The sequence below is a fragment of the Homo sapiens genome, chromosome 1 (genome assembly GCF_000001405.40).
Source record: "Homo sapiens chromosome 1, GRCh38.p14 Primary Assembly".
NCBI lineage: Eukaryota > Metazoa > Chordata > Mammalia > Primates > Hominidae > Homo > Homo sapiens.
In genome coordinates, this window is record NC_000001.11 from 69,240,763 (window position 1) to 69,257,480 (window position 16,718).

At 37.8% G+C, this 16,718-nt stretch overlaps 1 long non-coding RNA gene across 2 annotated transcripts in view, besides 1 other annotated feature; it reads right to left on the minus strand.

Moving 5' to 3' along the window:
• LINC02791 (long intergenic non-protein coding RNA 2791) overlaps positions 1-8,768 on the minus strand; it is a 33,693-nt gene extending 24,925 nt beyond the window's left edge. Inside the window, exons 1-2 of one of the 2 annotated variants that reach the window (NR_183660.1) lie at positions 8,453-8,768; positions 2,763-2,834 (exon numbers count right to left, since the gene is read on the minus strand). This is a non-coding gene — a long non-coding RNA (long intergenic non-protein coding RNA 2791). The remainder of the gene's footprint in view (positions 1-2,762; positions 2,835-8,452) is intronic. The other variant, NR_183659.1, reaches the window with a different exon arrangement.
• Positions 3,362-4,026: an enhancer, noted in NCBI's record as "OCT4-NANOG hESC enhancer chr1:69709807-69710471 (GRCh37/hg19 assembly coordinates)". NCBI's record gives its function as "activates a minimal SCP1, AML or CMV promoter by ChIP-STARR-seq in naive H9 embryonic stem cells {active_cell/tissue: H9 hESC(naive)}" and the evidence as "EXISTENCE:reporter gene assay evidence [ECO:0000049][PMID:30033119]".
• Positions 8,769-16,718: the final 7,950 nt, after the last annotated feature.

Below are 16,718 nucleotides of genomic sequence, written 5' to 3' on the forward strand. Positions count from 1 at the left end.
TGGCAAGACAACAGAAGACAAGATGCTAAAGTTAACAGATAGCACAAACTTAAGGTAAGTGCATATAAATGTTAACAGAATACACTAGGAAGAATTTAGATTTTTTTGTTGGTGAAACAAATTAGAATTTTTCCTGTTATGATTACATTATGCTGTTCAAAGGGAGAGGGAATGTGTGAGGATGTTACATTCAAGTGACTACATGTTCAAAGCTCTTGGGTACATAAAAATAAATTAGCTTGGGAAAGGACATAATGTTCAGGCTGCCCTTGAAAAATCTAAGATTGGCGAGTAGATGTTTTCACAGGAAAAGTTGTTCACCACTTGCTTTCCTATCCCCATGCCACTCTCCCCATGCTTGCAGACGTCTTCCAGTTGCAAAAATCAGGTTATTTCTCCCATTTCTCAAAAACTTTATGAAAGCCCTCCATTATCTAACATCAAACGTTTTTTTCCGGCCGGGCGCAGTGGCTCACGTCTGTAATCCTAGCACTTTGGGAGGCCGAGGCAGGCGGATCACGAGGTCAGGAGATCGAGACCATCCTGGCTAACATGGTGAAACCCCATCTCTACTAAAAATACAAAAAAAAAAATTAGCCGGGCTTGATGGCGGGCGCCTGTAGTCCCAGCTACTCCGGAGGCTGAGGCAGGAGAATGGCGTGAACCCGGGAGGCGGAGCTTGCAGTGAGCCGAGATCGCGCCACCGCACTCCAGCCTGGGCGACAGAGCGAGACTCTGTCTCAAAAACAAAACAAAAAAAATCTGTTTTTTCACCTCCAACATTCCACTCATTATATTTCATCATATATATTTCTTCTAAGCAGTCCTTCTCTTATGTTCTGCCTCAATCTTTTAGAAAATATTTTGCTATAAAATTCTCATCCTTCACCATCCAGGCTAACTGCCTTCTCCTCTGTGAAGCTTTCCTTGATTATCCAGACACAGTGAGCCTTTGCTTGCTGTGCTTCTCTTCAATAACTAACTTTGACTTCGTGAGCAAGTACTATAGCTGTTATATAGTTGTTAATGTCTACTTTTCCAGTGACTATAAGCACCATGGGGCCAGACACCATGTTTCATTCCATGTTTTAGTTTTTTGTCAGCCCTTTGCAGAGTGCCATGGTAGTTATGTGCAAGAGCAGCTTAAAATAATGAAATTTCAAATGTTTTAGCAGTGCTGTTAATAGAATTAGGATTCAATTAATCTTAGTTCTTGATATTAATATCAGTAATTTTTTTTTTTGGGGGGACAGAGTTGCACTCTTGTTGTCCAGGCTGGATTGCAATGGCACAACCTCAGCTCACTGCAACCTCCACCTCCTGGGTTCAAGCAATTCTCCTGCCTCAGCCTACCGAGTAGCTGGGTTTACACACACCCACTACCACACCTGGCTAATTTTTTGTATTATTAGTAGAGATATGGCATCATCGTGTTAGCCAGGCTGGTCTCGAACTCCTGACCTCAGGTGTTCCACCCGCCTCGGCCTCCCAAAGTGCTGAGATTACAGGCATGAGCCACCGCCCCAGGCCTATCAGTAATTTTAACACAAAACCACAAGGGCTGAATTTTTTTTCTTAATTCAATTTTCCCTATTATCTAATTATGCATTGAAGTATGATCCAGAAGTCTGGGGAAGACCTGGTCCTAATTCTTCCCAATTTATGTAGCATATTCAAAGGGTGAGCAGAACATAGGTGCCTACACATGGATCTAAATATCCTTGAAAAAGCTTCTATTTCATTCTCTTTGTTCCACGGTCTGGTTGCAAGATCCAAAGATTTTAGATTTGAATACAGGGCACTATGGTTTGAATATGTCCTCCAAAGTTCATGAATTGGAAGCTTAATCCCCAATGCAACAGTTTTGAGGGCAGGGCCTTTCAAAGGTGATTAGATTCATGAGGAATCTGCCCTCATGAATGGATTTATGTGATTATCACTGGAGTGGGTTTGTTGTAAAAGCAAGATAACCTCCCACCCCTTGCTCTCTTGAGCTCTCTTGTACTTCTGCCTTCCGCTATGGGATGACACAGCATGAAAAACTTTTGCCAGTTGTGGGTCCCTCCACCTTGGACTTCCAGCCTCCAGAACTGTAAGAAATCTCTCTTCTTTATAAATTATCCAGTCTGTCTATTCTGATATAGCAGCACAAAATGCACTAAGACAAGAGGGAATTTTCAAGGTGCAGCGCATCACATAACTAATGAGCATTTATAAAGTTCTTGATGTCTCCATACAAAGATGCTGTGAAAGAACAAATGATTTTTCTTCATAGCTTCACTTAATTTCTTTTCATTCATAGTTATTTGTGCGAAAGGTAACAGGCTTTATCTTTATTCTTACTCTCTAATAGTGTTCAGCTTTATTAAAACAAGCTGTTCTCCAGAAGAATAATTTTATGGGACTTTAGAACCCCACATCACATAGAACTATAACAAAACAAATCTTTGATAAAATATAATTCTTATAATTTAAAAAAATAATTTTTTTAACATGGATGAAGCTGGAATCCATCATTCTGAGCAAACTATCACAAGGACAGAAAACCAAACACCGCATGTTCTCACTCATAGGTGGGAATTGCACAATGAGAACACTTGGACACAGGGTGGGGAACATCACATTTCATTTTTATTGGCATTTCTGGAATAATTAGCCACATTGGAACATTTTGAATTTACTGGAATTTAATGGGTCTATCAAGTAACTGTATGGCAAATGGCCATTTTAAGGTAGACTTGGCAATTCCCCATTTTGCTTACATACATCGAGTCTATAAGCTGTAAGCTGCAGGTTTGATCCTCATTGCGAAGGCAGCTTAACTCCTGAAAAAGCTAAGAGGCAAGATTTTTTAAAGTGAAAAAATGAATAAATGAAAATAAATAAGTTAGCAAAGTGTTAATTGCAATGAAAAATCTATAGGTATTACTGTGCTGTTAAGGTGAACATATTGTTATGAGCTAAACTGTATCCCCTCAAAAATTATATAGTGAAGCCCTGACCTCTGGTATCTTAAAATGTGACTGTATTTAAAGATAGGGCCTTTAAGAGGTGATTAAGTTAAGTGAGGCCGTTAGAGTGGGCCCTAATGCAATCTGAATGGTGTCCTTATTAGAGAAAATTTGAACATGCACAGAAAGAGAGAGAGAGAGAGTGACTGGGGCTGTGCAAACACACAGAAGAAACACCAAGACTACATTAGGACAAAGGACAAGGTGGCCACCCACAAGCCAAAGAGAGAGGCCACAGAAGAAACAAAACATGCCAATACCTTGATCTTGTACTTCTAGCTTCCAGAACTGTGACAAAACATATTACTTTTGTTTACGCCACCCAGTTGGGTATTTTATCATGATAACCCTAGCAAACCAGCACACTTATTTCACACTAAGGTAGACTACCATCCATTGGAGTAAGACTTCCTGGCCTCTCTTACTACCTCTTTATCTGATTGGTACTTAGGGAAATAAGCTGAGAATGCATGGCTTGACCCTTCTCTTATAGCTTCTTTAGTTTTTCATTTGCTTGTCTCCAAAGAATACATGCTCCTCTCTGCTGCTGGCCAGAGCAGGTACTGGCCTTAGACATCTCAGTTGCTCTCTCCTTTCTTTGCCCTTGGAAGCCGCCTGCCTGCTGTGAGCAGGCTTTCTGTTCTTCTCATTCCTGCTGTGAGTTTTATACTGGTAATCTCTTCCCCTGGGGAGAGAAGGCTGCTCTCTTCCAGTGCTGCCCAGGACTGGGTGTTTATATTTGCCTAATAATGGGGTACAGTTTTAAAAATCTCACTGTTACCCCAAACAACATTCTTAAGAGCTAATTAAGTCATTAATTAAACTGACTTTTTGTCTCCATCTGATTACTACTTTCTTTATTCCCTTTTGATTCGAGGTGGGTTGGAAAGGGATATACTTCATTTTATCTTCAAACCTCAACGTAAAAGAAATTAAACACCAAATTAGAATAATCCTATAGGACTCTGGATCTGCTCGTGATAAATAATTTATTATGCACTAATTGATTATGGTCCCAAAGCTACACAAGCCAATGAACGAACTGCTTATAGACATACTCTGACTCTTCTCAACTAGAAATGACTGGTTGGTTGGTTTTTTTCAATATCCCACCTAAAAATCAAGTTTCCGGTTTGTGCTTTTTCTTAATATTTTATTCTCTTATCTGTTCTCTGGGTTTTGGACATTTTATTACTAATCCACTTTTTCCAAAGGTAAACAACAAGCTCAAGAAGAAGGAGAGCTACAAGCAGCCCAATTTATACCTGGTTGGCTGTTCTGCTAAGAGACTTGATTTTAGTAAAAAGAGAAATACTGGCTTACCAGTGCTGTTGAATTATCCAAGCTATAAAATTAATATAATAATACTACTTGTAATTGGATTCACTGAGGATGTATTATGTGCCAGTATGTGTGCCTTATAGCAGAAGTCTAAGTGCGGCACATGCATTGTCTAACTTAATTCTTATAACAACTTTTGATGAAAAGAGGTGCAGGGGGCTTAAAGTATCTTGTGAAATTTCACCCAATTGGCAAGCAATGGAGTTGAGAATTAAACTTGGGCTTTCTCATTCCAAAGTCTGTGTTCATCACAACTTACCACTTGCTCTATGCCAGGAATAAGCATTGAGAGCCACTATAAATTTTTCAATCAGGGGAAGAAATATACCAATTTGGGAAGTCACGGTCAACTGGAGAAGATTGACTGCTCAACAAGTGACTTCTTTCGTTTCACATTTTTAAAAAAGGAAGATTTTGAGTCATAATTTATAGATCTTCTCTCATTTTTTCCCTAAAAGTACACCTACATTTTCCTTCTTTTGTAAAATAGAAGAAAATGGTGATTTAGCCATTACTATAGTTGCTTTAAGCAAATTAGTGGCTCTTGAATCACATTTTATAGTTCAACAAACCAAAAAGTCGAACTGATTTTGCCAGAAACATAATCTTAAAAGATTTTTAAGTGTTTTAAGATTCCTAAGTAGACTGTCTTAGAAAACAAATGCTAAAATTAAATTACTTGGCAAAACTAAACTCATATATGAGAGCTAACCTAAAAGTTACCCTGCACAAACAAGTAACAATAGGGGCATTTTATATTAAACTTTGTTTACAGAACAAAAATTCCCACTTGGTTCTTCTTTCTTATAAATAAATTTCCCAAGTATTAGCACATTTTCTTAATTGCCATTGGAATCATGCTATTCTCTATTAAAATCTAAATCTAGATCATGTGAAAATAACAGTGTAAGTAAAAGTGAGTCTTATTTCATGTGCTAGATGAGCTAAGTATAGTTCTCAAAATGCATATTCTCTGATAAGATGGTCACTCACAAAAAAATTTAAAAAAACATCAAATATGATATGAAGACCTCCAAAACCATGTGCAGGGAAATTTAATGAGTATTAATGATATTCTAAAAGAGATGCTAGACTTGTTAGTGGTGAGCAAGGATGCTTAGATCATGCTAATGTTAAAACCTAACAGATTTCCTAAATGCCTTTCATGTTGAGGTGAGATTCCTGTTTCCATGGCAACCTGCAGTGAGTTAAGAAGGGTACTGTTAAACTGTATGGCAGTTTTGCTTAGTCTCTCTGAAAGAAAAATATCAGAAGAAACCATTTCTCTACCCATGATTGTAATCAGAGATCCTCCGCCCCCAACCACAAGCTTCTATTGCTGTTCCTGAAGAAGATATTAAGGGCAGTAAATCAGAAATCTATTTAATGATCTACTATGCTCTGCATGAGCTGCAGACCCTTTGCTGGTCCAAAAATCACATTTGCAGCAAATTAACATTGGCAAGTCTGTAGGAAGGGATCAAAACAAATAAAGATGCCAAATAATGAGCAGGAGAAATAATAGGAAAATATCTGTGATGCCTTGATTCCTAGAGACTGCTTTAAATGTGTTAAAACAACTTCCTTTAGGGTAGTGCCTCACTCTCCTGTTTTTGAAACTCTGCTATTCTTTGCATTTGAGAAATGAAAATATAATGAATATTTCTGTTGTTCTGCAAGGAATCCAAATCAAAGCTCTGACAAGAAATATCCACCCACATGTTTGCTTCAGTTTTTCCTAATACACTCATTACCCTGCGCGAAGCTCAAGACCAAGTGATCTCACCCAGACTGACAGAGGCAGCATGTCTACTGGCAATTATCCCAGTGTATTCAATGGGAACAGTGCAACTGAAAATCAAAGATCCTGAAACAGGGCATCTGCTACTCAGAGAAACTCAAAGTCAATTTTTAAAACTACATCTATTTTGCTGTCATAAAACACTTATAGCTAACATTTATTGCACACCTATGAGTACCAGTCATTATGCTAAATATTTTATATGCAGCATCTTAGTGATTGTCATAAAACCACAAAAGATAGGAATTACAAATATTATATCTGGTTTTACAAATGAGAAAATTGCCTAAGATCACACCTATTCTAGGAACATTTTTAAAGTAATCAGAGGTAGACTTGGAGGCTGCCTCTCCCTCCCTTTTAAGCATTCTTCTGCTGTTTAAAAATTAATAAATTTTTTAATTTACAAATGTATACATACATGCCTTTAGGAGTCATTCCAGCATCTTAACTGAGTCAAGCAGTCTGGCAGGCATGGAAAGACAATAGAGCCTGGTGGGGACTTAGGCAGTTGGAGTTCACATGTCCCAGCTTCTGCTGAGGTTGATCATGCAGAAATGTGGGTTCAGTGTGACCAGATTTTATTTCTTTTCAAGACAACCCACTCATCCCAATTTTCAAGTGAAATTTACACATTTAAAAAATTGGTACCATGAAAAAAGTGTGAGAACCAAGAGGAAGATCTGCCCCAGGCTGCCTGATTGTTTTCTCTGTGTTAGAAATTATTCATCCTTCTCTCCAAAAACAAAAGTATTTCAAAAGAAGATTCCCCCACCACCATGAAAACATAACACAAGGCCAAAATTTAGCAAGGCAGTAGGAGTGGGAAAATTCTAGGTTTTGGTGAGCCTTTTTGGTAAGTAAAATGAAAAGAATAGTTGCATAAATAGAATCTAAGGGTAGTGCCTCTTTCCAATTTTAATTTTATTTACTGAATTTCTCGCAGAAACTTAATGCTTTCCCTTTTATTCAATGTTGTATATTTTATATCAAATAATTGAAGCAAAGCAGAATTCCATTTACTCTTTAATTAAATGAAATAACATTATTAAAAAACATGTTCTATAATTTGGTTCTGTGTGATGATGCAAGTGGCAAGTTTAATTTCATTCAACTGAATGACAGCAATAATCATACAGAATAGAGATGAGTAATTTAGATTTTCCAAGCTCCTGTTCTTGAAGTTACCCTAAGTGTCAAAAGTAGGAACATTCTTGAAGGTATACTATACACCTCCCCCAGCAACAGCTCCTTTCAGACAGCAAGCAAGAACGAAGCTGAAGATAACACTGGAAAATGTTTACCATTGATTCCCTTAATACATTTACTTTTGATGACAGAGGGGCAAATTACATGACTATTTTTATATATAGGAAAGAAAAACTAAATCTGACCCCCTGTTTTAACTTAACTGTTTCATTAACACGATAATGAACAACAAAATCCCTTCTTGGGAAGAAGGTGTGGATATGTATGTTCAATACATTTGCTAGATATTTTCTAAAGCAATGTTACTGTTACATTAAACATTAACAAATTATTTTATTGGAATATTGGTGTTATGTGATTTTCCACATTATTTTACTACAGTCATTAATTGACGAAATGAAAGACCCAAAGTTACATGAAAGTGAGCATGACTGTAAAAATAAATTTGAGTGCTCACAGTGGTCCAGCAACACCTGTGACAATTTATAAATATGGCCCCACAATGATATTTCAGGGATTTTTTTCCTAACCTTACAAAGCTATAAAGAGAGACTGTAAAGCAACCAAGCTCAAGCAGCTTTTTGGCATTAATAGCAGATGATCAGACCTAATGAATCCTTGAAATGCAAGCACATATGGGTGTAGGTAAAAATTTGTTTCTAGGAATCTGAATTTGAGGGCCATGGCAAGGCATTGGAATAAATATCTGAATCTCCATTTCCCTTCATTTGCACACTGTACTTCCCATTGACCTTTGTTACTAAACAATAATGATGTTAGAGGGGTACTGCTGTTTATATGTTTTCTTACTTAATCTACACAACTCTCAGAGATAGTGATTGTTATCTCGATGTTACAGAGTAGGAGACTTGTGCCCAAAGAGCTGAAGTAATTGACCTAAGAATCTAATGAGGAAGGGCCAGAGCAAAGACATAAAGCCACCCTTTTCCATGCCAATGCCCCTGTAATTCCAATATTAGAATCCTACTACTGTATTATTATTGTGGCACTGTGAATCCAGGACTTCACCGAGTTCCGGAGAGCTAAATAGGCTGAGAGAGCTACTCCATCATTTGAGAAACAATCTTACCTGTAAAATGTCAATAATGCCTTTTACTTGCCAATTCCATGGGATTATCGTGAAGATCAAAGGAGTAAATGTGTATGTTAATGAGATTTCAGCAGTAGAGATCACCAACAAACAAACTGTTAAATGACATCATTGGTTCATCCCGTCAGTTAAATAGAGGAGTATTTACTTTGCAAGAGGCAATAAATGATATTCCTTTTCTCTTAGGATTTGAAACAATCCAGAGACAGACATGAGAGCTAGGCAGAAAGAGATCAAACTATGAGTATGAGAAGGTAACAGCATGGAGAACATGGCTTAGATGTGTGGTAACAGTGGAATTCCTCATTGTTCCTGCACTCTAGTTTAGATCCCTGAATAAACAAACAGACGGAAATCTAAATTTTTGGAGAACTCCCTTACTCTGTCGCCCAGGCTGGAGTGCAGTGATGCCATCTCGGCTCACTGCAAGCTCCGCCTCCCGGGTTCATGCCATGCTCCTGCCTCAGCCTCCCGAGTAGCTGGGACTACAGGTGCCCGCCGCCACGCCCGACTAATTTTTTTGTATTTTTAGTAGAAACGGGGTTTCACCGTGTCAGCCAGGATAGTTTCAATCTCCTGACCTCGTGATCCTCCTGCCTTGGCCTCCCAAAGTGCTGGGATTACAGGCGAGAGCCACCACGCCCGACCAGAACTCCCTTGCTCTTTATCAGCAACATACTGGCCTGAGGAAAAGAGGGCAGAAAGAAAGGGAATCCCTCACATTTAGGACTATTGGACTAGGTGAGCTCCACTTGAAACAAAATCACGGACTGAAGGCTCTACTTGCTTTTCCTACTAACCTGCTGGGAAAAATGAGGGATGGGGCTAAAAGTATGGAGGGTTTAGGAATAAGCTCTCCTAATGTAACTCAGATTAGTGGATGACAAAAATCTCCCAAATAGTAATCTCAGTCTCAACTGTGTACTTGTTGTGGGATCATAGGCCACTATTTCAGTCTAAATAAAAACAAGTAATGAACACCGAAACTTGACTAAGGCAAGTGATAAGATCATCATGTTTAAAACTATGAAAAGACTCTGCTTAAGACAAAACTTCCCAGACTGTATTGCATTATTCAGTTTGCCCTTCTAGTTCCTGATCAATTAAATATGTTGGCATTTATTGTGCATCTGCAGTGTACATTCCTTTTAATCGTTCTTCTCCTCTTCCCTAAACAGAATTAAAGAGTGTGTTAGGAATAAGGATAGATGGAAATTTAGCTTTACTGAGAGCCAGTTGGAAAAATTTTAACTGAAAATATCTCAGAATAGTTGTCACTCTGAATTTGGTCTCATTCTTTTCCTCTACTCTCACTTTCCCAAGCTGCCTCCCACATACACACATTGTCACACAACTTGTGCCCCAAGCATATTATGCTTCCCACAATCACCCAAGAACTCCAAGCTCCTTCATACATGCAACATTTTGCATTTCTCATTCCCTTTGTCCAACATGCCATAATGTCTCTTTGTTGAACAATGAACTCTTGCTAATTTTTGAAGATTGAGCCTATGAGTTACTACCTCAAGAAAGCTTTCTATGACTCCCAGAGCTCAACCACTGTTCATTTCTCCGTTATAGCACTTACCATGTTCTATGTGTAGCAGGATGTTGTACCTAAGTCAGATTCCGTGCGTTATTAATGGGTTGATGGACACAATTTGCATATTTTGGATGAGACTTTTAGTTTTTTGGCTAAAGGAGAAGGAAATGTTGTGTTTTTGTTTCACTGGTTGTTTCAAGCTCTTGAGAGATAAACAGAAATGGAAAATAATGGAGCATATTTCCCTGCCTAATTCCTTGAATAGGTTGTTGACTTTTTAGAGGGAAGAGTGACAGTCATGGCTGGAGACTGTTTTTCTGAAAGTCTGTGAGACCCTGGGCATTGATGGCTCTGTTTCAGACACCATATTGATTAAACTCAACTAAGACCAAAGCAGGGGCAATTTTCCTACCCCACTCTGGCACAGAAAAGCAGAGTGGCTTAGGAACAACATCAACAGTAACCACAGTGAAGTTCCCACCAGCAATTTTATAAGAACAGGAGAATGTTATTCCTCTCCTCCTGTGGCTTGCTTTATCAATGTGTCTACGATAAAGTCCCTGCAGCTGATAGATCAGTGTATGTACTAGAAGAACCACGCACTGGCTATTTCTAGGAATCTTTGGAGATGTTTCAAAGGAGGCAGAACAGTTGAGTGGCCAGGTGGGTGAAAGAGCAGGGCTGGAAATTCGACGGACACGGAGTTACATATTCTATGGAGCATTAAAGGTTAGCACACAGCTGGGTAGCTTTCATTGCCTATGCGATTACTATCACAATTGGTTTCTTGCATATCTATATATTCTTATATGTTGTGCACTTCTTCTGTTCAGAAACAATGTCTTGATAACCAAAGTTGTGCACTTTATCCAGTAGGCACTCCATGCATGAGTGTTCAATGAAAAAAATGAATGGAAATAAACTAAATCAAAGCACAGAGGTGATCGTTGCTTTGAGCAAGTATTGTTTACAATCACACATACTATTCTTTATGTAGCATGAATCCTTGTAAAGTTACCTAGAATCATGAAACAGCAACATGAAACTGAGAAAGCTGCTAGACTTGAACATCTTACCAAAGCAAAGCAACCCACACTATTCTACATTCATATTTTGTAAGCCACATAATTTTCTCCACTATTAAATGGCGTTTCACCCCCAGAATAAGAGTAGTATAATAGTTAAAAGTGCAGTTTAGAGTAAAATTGCCTGGGTTGAATATTCAGTCTGCTACTCTCAAGCCATGTGACAATGGCTCTCTATAATTCAATTATCTCATTTGTAAAACAGTAAGAATAATAGTACCTACCTTATAGGACTACTATGCGTATTAAATAGTTATAATTAAAGTGTTGATAACAGTTTTGGCACATGGTAAGCATTCATCAGACATTAGCCAGAGTAGATATTGGTTTACTGAATGCTATTTCACTTAGTAAGGTCTTGCCTTGGCCCAAAAGGTAGTGATTTTAGCCACTTACTCAGGTCAGATTTTCTATACATCAGTTTCATTTTTGTAATATTGAGGCTAGGACTGAATGGACAGATTGAACATTGGCAATAGCACATGTTAAAAATTTGAGGTAGAAAGGTGTTTTAAAATACCTATTTGCACTGGAGCCACATTTCCTGTTCTGTGGAGGGAAAATAAAAGCCAAATGCTTTTTCAAACTTTATCCTTGGCCTTTTCTCTTTTATTTTAACATTGCCCCAACCACTCATGATTATTGAACTCCTGTGGAGAGCCTGGTTTCCTAGTGATACGTGTACTCACAGAGTTGCAAGCCCATAAATTGACCTATCAGTAGGTGAGAACAACTCATTCCAATTTGACCATTACTGAGTCCTAGAGAGTTGCAATTAGAACTCTAACAATTGCTATATGAGAGAACTCCCAGGGAAAAGTTTACAGCAAAGGAGCACAGAGATATTTAGGAAACATGTGGAGTCATAATGAAAAATAAGAATTTGTGTTGAGAAAATGCATATTAAATAAGGAGAACAGTTTCTGCTCGCTGGAGATGTGCCCATTTCTTTTGCGGGTAGCATGGGATGCTGTTTTGCCCTTGATGGATCATGTTTTAGTAATTGCAGTGTCAGTCCACTTGAAACACCTTGCCGTGAGTCAGAGATGACTATGAACTCGGCAGAAGTCATGGTGTTCTGAAAAGTCAGGCATGATAAACACAGGTTTTGTAGAAGACTGGGGAGGTGTGGAAGTTAGATTTCAAAGGAGGCCAAATAAGTGTGCTCAGGTTTGCAAGTGAAATTGTTGTCAGTCACTTTTGTGCATTGCCTTTTTCTCTGCAGAACATGAATGCCAAGAGAGATAATCCAAATTCCTATTTTTTGTTATACGTCAGCCTTGTTTGCCGTATTATTGAGACTGCAATTTATCTTCATCAGGCTGTATTTACAGTAGTACCATGTGTTGCAAAATATAGCAGGTTTTTATTATTATTGGTTTTATGATGAGACCATATTGAAAAGGGGCCCTTAAGAAACTTGAACACTTGGAAAGAGATATTTGCCGTTTGCTGCATGACTAGTTTTCTTTCTCTCTAATTTCTCATCACATTACTTCAACATTTTCAAGCCTTCAGTGTTTTGCCATTTCCCTTAGGAAATGTTGTGAAGATAAAATACAGGAAAAGTTGCAAGATAAAATACAGGGCACCCAGTTAAATTTGAATTTCAAATAAACAATGAATACTTTTTCAGTATAAGTATGCCCCATATATTGCAAGTGTTATATGACACATACTTGTACCAAAAAAATTTTTGTTTTTTATCTCAAATTCAAATTAAACTGGTAATCTTATATTTTTATTTGCTTAATCTGGCAAACCTGCCTTTGGACAAAAGTCTTAAATCCATAGCTACATAGAATACAGTGTTTCTCCTGTATACAGTTCCAATTTCATTAAAAGCCACTCACACTCCACCTTTTGTGTTCCAACCATATTCAGCTTAGTTCATTAAATATACAGTCACTTGGCTCACAATGATGTTTCAATCAATGGAAGACCCTATATATGATGGTGGTGCCGTAAGATTAAAATGGAGCTGAAAAATTCCTATCACATAATGGCACCATAGCCATCCTAATGTTATAGAGCCATGCATTACTCATGTGTTTGTGGTGATGCTAGTGTAAATGAACTTACTGCACTGCCAATCATATAAAAGTATAGCACATGGCACATACAATTATCTTCAGTATATAATACTGGGTAATGATAATAAATGACTATGTTACTTGTTTATGTATTTACTGTACTATACTCTTTATCATTATTTTACTATGATCCTTCTACTTATTAAAAAAAAGTTAACTGCAAAACAGCCTCAGGCAGGTCCTTCAGGAGGTATTCCAGAAGAAAGTATTATTATCATAGGAGATGACAGCTCCATGTGTGTTATTGTTCCTGATGACCTTCCAGTGGGATAAGATATGGAGGTGGAAGGCAGTGATATTGATGATCCTGACATGGTATAGGCCTAGACAAATGTGTGTGTTTGTGCCTTAGTTTTTTTTAAGTTTAAAAAATAAATAAAAAATTTTTAAAATAGGAAAAAGCTTATAGAGTAAGAATATAAAGAAAAATTTTTTGTACAGCCATACAATATTTGTGTTTTAAGCTTAGTGTTATACAAAAGAGTTAAGAAGTTTAAAAAATTAAAAAGTTTATAAAAGTGAAAAGTTACAGTAAGGTAAGCTTAATTTATTGAAGAAAGAAAAAACATTTTAAATAAATTTAGCAAAGTCTAAAGTAAACAGTGTTTACAAAGTCTGCAGTAGTATACAATAAGTAATGTCCTAGGCCTTCACATTCATTTACAATTCACTCACTGACTGACAGAGAGATTTCCAGTCCTGCAAGCTCCAGTCATGTATGTGTTCCATACAAGTATACCTTTTTTTTAATCTTTTGTACCACAATTTTAGTGTACCTTTTCTATGCTTAGATATGTTTAGATACACAAATATTTCCTAGACTACAGGTTTGTAGTCTAGGAGCAATAAGCTATACTATATAGCATAGGTGTGTAGCAGGCTATACCATGTAGGTTTGTGTAAGTACAGTCTATGATGTTTGCGCAAGTACTAAATTGCCCAGTGATGCATTTCTCAGAATATATTCCTGTCCTTAGGTAACTCATGATTGTATTATATGTTCTCTGTGCCATGCCTTTACAATGCTATCCTCTTAGCCTAGACAATTCCTACTTCCACCACCAACAACCTATTTATTTGCCCAGCCAACTGATATTTGTTCAAATCTTTGAAAGTTTCATTAGGAAGACCAATTTTTCAGTCTTGTCCTAGTTAGGGTTTTAGTGGAATAATAAACCTACCAGCACTTTGGGAGGCCAAGGCGGGTGGATCACTTGATGTCAGGAGTTTGAGACCAGCCTGGTCAACATGGTGAAAATCTGTCTCCACTGAAAATACAAAAATTAGCTGGGCATGGTGGTGCATGCCTATAATCCCAGCTACTTGGTTGGGAGGCTGAGGTAGGAGAATCACTTGAACCTGGGAGGTGGAGGTTGCAGTGAGCTAAGATGGCGCCACTCTACTCCAGTCTGGGCAACAGAGTGGGACTCCATCTCAAAAACAAATAAACAAAAAAACTCTGTGTTGACCTCTTAAATTTGGATTCAGTTGAGAAATAAGGCATAGAGGACAAACAGAAAGAATTCAAAATTGACTAAAGAATATGATTATAAATTTGCAGCCAGATAGACCTCTACTTTCCTTGAATTTGACCTAATCTCCCAAATTGGAGGCCTTAAGAGGCAAAACAAAAAGTCTGAGTTGAGTGTTTTCTCCCTAACTGATGAGTCAGATAAGTCACTCTTCCTTCCTTGGGGCTGGAGAGAAACTTGGAGGCTTTCTGCTCTAGCTTTCCTTTGAAGGGAGTTGAGTGGAAATTATCTCTGCTCTCCACTCTGACTTTGAAAAATTGGGAATGTGAAATAAGTGCGTATCCACCAGATAAAAATCTGGCCACCAGATTTTTATTCTCTTAATAAGATTATCCATTAGGTCTATGGTCAACTATTGGTGTGGCCAGTTCATTAGTGGGAGGTAAGGATGGTCATGCTATTACCTTCATGAAGTCACTTCACCATATAGATGGCTGATCTTTTGTGATTCTTCCAGGCAACTGGTGGGCAGGGTAGCTTTGCCCTCTAGAAGACCCTGAAATGGGTCAGAATTGAATTAACTTGGAATTCCTTCTGAATCCTGAGTAGAGCATACATTCTTTATTTAATTTTACATCCTGATTTATATCTAGCCATGTTGTCTAGGAATAATCCTAAAAAATGTAAATTTGAATAAAATCATCTATTATGAAGAACATGAGTAAAAAAGGAAGTCCAATAATGACATCTCTTTTTCTAAATGTTAAGACCTAACAAAGTGCAAAATACGCTTAGTCATGATCAGTCACTTTCTTCTTCTGCTTAATCTTAACACAGAGGCATCCCCAGTTTGAGAACTGTGTGGAGTTGGGATTGGGTAGATAGGCACCTGGTCTATCTTCTGCTAAATAGTATAGTTTCTGAGGCAGGCTCACAGTGGAAATAATCCAGACCAAACCCTCTCATAGGCCATGATTTTTCTAATATTTTGACACAAAAGACTGTTATAACATCAACCTCACCTTATAAAATTAAAAACTCAAGTCAAATCTAGCCTCTATAGAAATATTGTTCCCAAAACCCAGTACTCTATATTATACAGGTCCATGAAACTGTTAATGGAAATGAGAACAGATATTCAGTAATTGAGGGAAAGAGGAGACATACAGGGAAATATTATCTTTGAGTCTGACCAGGTTGCATGCAGCTCATGTCAGTTACAGGAAGGCTACAGACCATAAAAATTAAACTTAAGAAAAATCTCCCATAAGCTCAATTGTAGCACTATGTTTGCCATTTAGAGAGAGAAAGTTGGGGAAGGATGCACTCCTGCAAACCATCTCAACTCTCAGAGAATAGCACTTGAGACATTCCTGCCCTCTTTCAAAGACATTGGAACTGGACATAAGTGGCAGCTTCAGCCATCAAATCTTATTAGACATGCCTTTCCTTCCCATCTACCATATGCAAAATCTATTTGCATTTTATTCTAAATGCCTAGCACTTAGGAGTGGGGGGTTAAGTTGTATGTTTTGTCTAGTAATATAGACTCTACTCTTTTCTTATGAGCTGGCATTTTTGTCTTGTGCCTTAGCAGTCATTGCCACTGCCTCTTGCTGTTAAAGTCCTTGACACTTGAAACCTGTCTTCTTCACTTTTGTTTATGCTGGGAAATCACATGCAGCTTCCTGCATTGAAAATGCTGTTGGTGCTTCTGAACCCTGAGCGCCCTGGGCCCAGTGAGCACCAAGATGGCTGCCATTTTCCACTTAATGTCTTACCTTTCCAGGCTCCCTTCAGAGAAGCAACCCCAGTCTTCTTTCTAAAACCCCAACTGTCTTTTTCATTCTTTATATTTCATCATCCTTACCTACCCAGAGATAATACAACTATCATGCTTTTAATACATTTAGATTGTTTTGAATTTTTATTTTTTCTAGTGTTACTGTTCTAATAGTCAGAAATAAAAAATAAAAATATTTTATGATAATTTTGTGACAATTTATCCCTCCTTGATTTGCTTGACAAGCTTGACTTCTAAAGTCTAAATAT